The following is a 7555-nucleotide window of genomic DNA, read 5'->3' as shown; positions in this document are numbered from 1 at the left end:
ATGTGAGAAATGTCTCAGAAAAGATCAATTTCAAAGGCATGAGTGTCCAACAGAAACTAACTTGTGATGCCACAAATAATTGATTAAATCTTATCTTACTGACATTTGGAAGATCTTGGTTTTAATTTTTAGATGAGGACATAGGTCCTGCTATAATTTGTTAATAAAAGAAGTAAGTGAGCTGGAAATATTTACAGATAAGATTATCAAATTATCGCTTTTTTCCAGTAAAATATAAAAGATATATGTATTGGTGCGACGACTTCACTGTCATCTCAGAATTGTTTTATTTTATCATATAAACTGATGTCAGTGTGTATGTGTACCCACATACTCACATATAATGTATTGATTTTCATTTCTTGTCAAAATTACATTTATTTGAGCAGCATTTCTTGTTTGAATATATTTTGATATTGACCTCAAGGGAACAAAGTCAATAACCTCATAATATACCTCCAGCCATAGAAACCAAATATTCAGACTTCTGTCAGTGGCACATCACCAGACTAGCATGGATGCTTGTGAGATTGGCAGCCCTGCAGGGCTTGTCTAGAGGGAAAGAGATTATATAGACTTAAGAAAAAACCTCAGCAGAAAATCAGAATTAAGAGGTGAAAGCTAGTTCGCAGATGTCCGAGTAGATCTCCTAATGACTAAAGAAACAGAATTGTGATTTTCAAAAGGGAAGATTTCTACAAATGGCAAATTTCTACTCCTTTCCCTTCTGTAGCCTGGTTGCTGTGGTTTGGAAACTGGACAATTTCTGAATGTGACTTTTCCTGAGAGTAAACTTTTAGAGAAATTATTATCCTGTACCTTCTCAGTTTTACATCCCAATCTAATTTATTATCTATTCCACTAACTCTTTTCAGATATGAGGTAGAAACCACTGAACTCAGATCAAAAGGAATATTTTTTACCCATAAATTCATCAGACTTAAAAGTCAAATCTTGTACAAAATAGTTCCTTTGAACATGATGTTCTTTACTTATTTTGGATTAGTGTAAAAACTAGAACTGGCTCCTGGTGATATGAGATAGTTACTTTTGATCACTGCTGCCTAAATTGCAATGACATTTTCTAAAATTCTAACACCAAGGACACTAACCTGCAACTGATGAGTTCTGTCTGAGAAAGCACAATATAGGGCATCAATAAAAGTAAACACACAGGGGCTACTTAATGCAGAGGGTAATACAGCCGCCTTGACACCCTAAGGATCTGGGTTTACAACCAACTGAGCTCATTGCTTCAAGGAGTCTAAGGTCAGTCCCTGTCCATTTTCTACGCATTGAAAATCACCCACTATTCAGCATAATTGACAAGTTACTTTCCAATAGGACTGTGCATTAAAACAGAGGTTATTTTTCCTGCATTTTCAAAAGCAATGTCCAGACATACACAATTCTGATAGTTTTGGGGGGCTGACTGTATAATAAAGTTCCCAAATTTAATTTCAGGCTTCACTTGGCTTCTGAAACTTTTCTACAGCATGCAAAACAATTAAAAACACCCTACCATGTTTCTGGTATTGCATCTGGTGATTCGTGAACATTCTCAGACGCTTGAGTACTTTGTCTTTTGGGTTCCTAAAGAGGTGATTACAGACATGATGAGAATAACAAATCGGAAAAATACCTTTCGGTTTGTGGGATAATTTACTAGGAATTGGTAAAAAAAAAAAAAAAGTATATTATCTATATGATGTTAAAAGAAAACATATTTTAAAAATAATAATAATATAAATCTAATACAATAGGTCATAATACAAAATACATATTCAGACGCTAAGAATTTTAGATGCTAATTTTGGAATACAATAATCAATCAAGCCAGCTTTCCATAGTGGTAACTGCATAAATCATATTTTTTTCTAAATATAATCTCTACATTGTACTCTTTGAGGATGGGTATGTTATACCTGTGTATATTAGACTGAATGGCTAAATAGTTTTTTTGAAGGGATTTTCTTTAATGACAATATTTTATTCATAATATTTTATCATTTTCCTCCTATCCTTATGAAAATTTTTATTATTTTCCCACTAATTATTTTTTTAAAGCTTCCCTACTTCATTCCCCCAGCTTCATTTCAACTTGCCGTTATACTCAAACAGTACTATATATAGTATGGTCACAATAAATAGCAGCCATAAATGAAGCCTCTTGTGATTTTCACAACATGATATGCTATCTCACTTTTGCATAAATTAGAACAAGATTTCTCAAATGTGACACTATTAACATTCTGGGGTGACTAATTCATTGTGGAGAGTGCTTCTGTGCATTGTAGAAGGCTTACCAGCATCTCTGGTCTGGACCCTCTAGATGCCAGTAGCACCTGTTCCTCCAGCTGTGACAGCAGCCATTGCCTAGTTCTTTAGACATTGATAAATGTTCCCTGGGTACAACATTTCTCAGCTGAGAAAGGCTGACTTAGCACATACTGTTCTTTGTGTTAGGAATAACTTCTTTCTTGGCCTTGCCCAGCGGCATACTACTATCCATACATTCTGGTATCACCTTAATGTGTCATCTCCACTTTAAGCCTTAATTGAATCACCCAGGGAGAAATAAGGGCTTCTTTTATTCTCTTTTCGCTATGATGGGTTTATATCCCTGTTAAAATTCTTAGCATAAAACATTCTCCTTTTATTCTCCTTTTATTGTAAGAGTACCTTCATCCGTTACTTGCTGTGCTACTTAAGTGAAAAATTAAGGGTAAGTATGTTACCTTTTTCCATGGTGTGTTCCCAGATTCTGCCATAATTCCTGATACATAGTAGGCATCCAATAAATATTTATATAAATGATGAAATTAATGACTAAATAGATAAATGCGGCTGGAAATTTTGTAAAAAGTGAATTCATAAATATATTTTTACCTTTATACAGAACACTTGTCTGGAAAAATTTTTTTTTAATTATTTTTTTCTTAAATTCTACACTAAGGGATTTCAAAGTCATAAAGAAAATTTACTGGTTAGAGTTTGAGGGTAGGGGTCTAAAAAGTCATTAAGGTTTTATAAACACAAAAGGGATCTTATATATCAAATTTTTAGAAATGGTATTTGATGAGATTATCACTCACACAAAGGACGCCAGTAGCTGACATGAACCTATAGTTAGCTCCTTTATTCTCCATTGCTGAGGTGCTAATTAATATTTGTTAGTGATGATGAAATGCAAAATTTTAAACAGAAATATTTTTTCTTGCTAGTTGCACATAAATATTGATCAACTGCTTTGGAATAAATTTCCTCTTCAATAAGATAGCATTTCAGTGCTTTTGTAGCCAATATAATCTTATGTATCATCGCAGTAGACTAAATAATGCCCCCTGAAAAATGCCTGAATTAAAATTTCTGGAACCTATGAATATGTTATGTTTTGTGGCGAAAAGGACTTTGCAGGTGTGATTAAGTTATCTTGATAAGGGGAGATTTTCCTGGATTACCCAGGTAGATCCAATGTAGTCTCAGAAGGCCTGATATAATCAGAGAGATAGAGACAATATGACAGTGGAAGCAGGCAGAGGTTTTAAAATGCTACGCTACTGGAGTTGATGATGGATGAAGGGGCCATGAGCTAAGGATGCTGGTGGTCTCTAGCCATAGAAAGTAAACCTGCTGACACTTTGATTTTTGCCCAGTGAAACTGATTTCAGACTTCTGAGCTCAGTATCTATAAGACAATAACTTTTTATTGTTTTAAGCCACTAACCTTGTGGTAATTTGTTACTATGGTGATTGAAAACAAAATCATTATGAGGAGAAGCCTTTTGACTTACTCTTGGTAAGAATTCTGTATTGAATGTGTAACTATATATGTTTATATATCATTTTTCCATTTTCTGTAGGTAAACATTGTTTGAGACTATACACCATTCTATAAATATGCTAGAAGTATTCATCCATTCTTATCTATTCTATCGTCTGTCAAGCCAGTTGCTCTGGGATAGTGGACAACATGGTTAGTACACTTGGGTAGCTGCCCATGTTCAGTGACGCTGTGAACAAGCTTGTATGTAGATCCTGAAACACATGGGGTGTCCATCTATGCCAGAACTATTCTCTTATGATCTGTGTGAAGTATAAAAGCTTTGCAATAAGTATTGCTATCTAGAAGTTCTTATAATTTTATTTAAGTGTCTCGACTAATTTGGCCTTTTGTATTCTTGTGATTTTATGTGGTGTTTCAATGTGTCTATATATTGAAATGGAAAGAAATGACATCTTTATAATATTAAATATTTGGATCTTCTTTACTGCATCTAACAAGCTTTTCTGTAAAGCAAACTTGCACATCTTCTGTTTGATTTACTGTTAGGTACTTATTTACTTTTAATGTAAATGGTTTTTTTTCTAACTTTGTTCTTAGCATATAGGAATAAATGGGCTTTGAATTCAGTAACCTAGATTAACTCTGTTGTAAATTCTAGTAATTTATTAGCAGTTTATTTAGGAGTTTCTATGTATATAGGAACCTTATCTGCAATTCTTTTTCCTCTTATTTCTTGTTCCTGGCTTAAAGAGCTGCTAAGAATGGAAACAATAACAAAAAACCATATCTTGTTTCTGATCTCAAAGGGAAAGCGTTCAACACTTCAATTTATATATGATGGTGCTGAAATGGGTTTTGTTTTATTGTGGAATAATTTGAAGGTAGAACAAATAGGATTTTATGACAGAGTTGATGTGGCAGCGGATTGAAAAAATGTGGTAAAATATGATTTATTTACCTTGGTGTAATGCAGTTACTATGCTAGGAGGATTGGAGGAGGCTATAAAATCAAGAGCTCGGTTTAAACACGTTAAATTTGAGATGTATATTAGATAGGCAAGTGGATATGGAAAGTAATCAGTTAGATATTATATTAGTCAAACGTCTCCAGAGAAACAGAACCAATAGGATATATAGAGATATGTAAGAGAAGATCTAGTCTGAGAATTGGCTCATGTAATTATGGAGGCTGAGAAGTCCCATGACATACCATCTGCAAAGTGGAGGACCAGGAAAACCTCTGGTGTCATTCAGTCTGAGTCCAAAGGCCTAAGAAGTAGGGAAGCTGATGTTGTACATCCTAGTTCAACGCCAAAGGCCTGAGAACTGGGAAGGGTAGGCCATGGGTCAGACAGGGGAGGTGTTATTATGTAAGTCCTGGAGTTCAAAAGCCCAAGAACAAGGAGCTCTGGTGTCTGAGGGCAGAAGAGGATGGATGTCTCAGCTCAAGAACAGAGAGAAAATTTACCATTCTTTTACCCTTTTGTCCTATCCTGGCCTCCAGTGGATGGGTGATGCCTGTCCACATTGATGAGAGTGGATCTTCTTTATTCAGTCCACTGATTAGATTAGTCAAATACTAATCTCTTCCAGAAGCCCCCTTACAGACACACCCCGAAATAGTTGTACCAGCTATTTGGGCATCTCTTAGCCCAGTCAAGTTGAAGCATAAAATTAACCATCACAAGTCCACTGCTTGTCAGCTTGGCATTCATATGTATCTCCTTAAACCATACTTAATCTCTAAATAAAGCAAGCACATAATTCTCCCTAACATGTTAGGATCATCCCGCTTACACCCAGACATGTACTAATCTCTTCAGAAGAGTTGATGAAGTCTTTGAAGACCTTTACCCTTCTCCTGGTATTCTCCTGTAACTTAAACACATGACCTAAAATTACCAATACTCAAATGATGATATAAAATTAATACATCTTATGTTACTAGTTAAAGGAGTAAGAGAGGAAAGAACAAAAACATTTACTTAATATACATGTATATACACACAATATATTCATAACAAAATAAGAAAGAAATGCCCATCACGATTATAGTTTTATTTCCTTAACTGCTCATGTGATTGTAGCTAACATTTAAAACTACACTTTTCTACTCCCCATTCTGTGTTCCTTTTGCTATTATTTCTGATAGTTGGTTATTTGTAGTCCTCACTGAATTGGGTTGCTGTAATTTTCCGTTGACCTTAATCACAGAGCATGGCAATACTAAGAGATATTCTAAGGAATCTTTTTGCCTTAACCCGCAAGGTATCACCAACTAGTTGATCCTACAGCTGAATCTTCAAAAGGCCGTTCCATCATCTATTCAGCCAGTTGCTTTGGGATAGTGGAGACAGTAAGACTAGTGAATTCTATGAGCATGGGCCTATTGCTGCACTTCATTGGCTGTAAAATGTGTTCTTGGTAAGAAGCAATGCTCTGTGGAATACTGTGGTGGTGGGGAAGGTGTTCTGTAAATCTACAACTGATTGTTTTGGAAGAAGCCTTGCATGCAAAGAATGCAAATCCATATTCAGAGTAAGTGTTTATTCCAGAAAGGACAAAATTTCACTTCTTCCAGGATGGAAGTTGTCCAGTGTAATCAACCTACCACTAGATACCTGGATGACCACCTCAGGGAATGATGTTATGTCAGGAGCTCAGTGTTGGTGTCTACTGCTGGCATATGGGCACTCAGCACTGACCAAAGCCAGATTAGCCTAGGTGAGTAGAAATTCATGTTGCTGAGTCAATGCTGCCACCATGGCCACTTTACTTATGAGCCCACTGGGCAGTGATGAGTGACTGAGGAAAGAAGCTGATTGGTTTCCACAGAATGGATCATTCTATCCATGTGATTATTAAAATCCTCCTCTGCTGAGACATCCTTTTGTGAACAATCAAACGGGACACAAATATCTTCATGTTTTTTCCCCCATTCCGAGACATCTATCCATATACCTTTTCACTCAATTTCTTTGTCACCAATTTTCTTTTAATGTTACTTTCAAGTCCCTGATCATCCAGCCAAACTTTGACTACAGCCCATGAATCAGTACACAATCCCATGTCTGGTCATTTCTCCTCCCAAGCAAAGTATACAACCAGGTTCCCTGCCCAAAGTTATGCCTATACCTAACCCACAAATTCATAAAGTGGGGAGTGCATAGCACACTCCATTATCAAATGGAAGTGGTATGTGTGTGATAGGGCCTGAACAGCCCCTGAAGGCACAAGTAAGTTTCATTAGGAAGAGGCCCAAATGCCCATGGTACCCACTCTTGCTACACTGCCTCATTTCTCCAAACGCTCACCTATGGCATCATGAGGAGTTTCCTACGATCAGTTGACAGAGAAAGAGAAGACCTGGTCATGGTTTACATACAGTTTTGCAGAATATGCAGGTAACACCCAAAAGTGGACAGCTGTAGCACTACTGCTCACCTCTAGGACATCCCTGGAGGTCAGTTGTGAAGGAAAATGTTCCCTGTATACGAAATATCGGCATTGGATAATTTGTAATCAACCTCTTATAAGAAGCAAGGATATTTTTGAACATTTGGGGAAAATTAAGTGAGAGATAAGTTTTTGCATCTGGCTCCTAATACAATCAAGAAAGATACACAACATCTAGTGGGCCAGTATGGATTTTGGAGACAATTCACTCAGTTGTGTATACTGAAAATCTGATAGTTTTGAGTAGGTCCCAGAATACCGGAAGGCTCTGTAGCAGGTCCAGTATTCTGTGTAAGCTGGTCTGCCCCTTGG

This window comes from Homo sapiens, chromosome 9 (assembly GCF_000001405.40).
Source record: "Homo sapiens chromosome 9, GRCh38.p14 Primary Assembly".
NCBI classification, from domain to species: Eukaryota; Metazoa; Chordata; class Mammalia; order Primates; family Hominidae; genus Homo; species Homo sapiens.
This window is presented reverse-complemented; position numbering follows the sequence as displayed.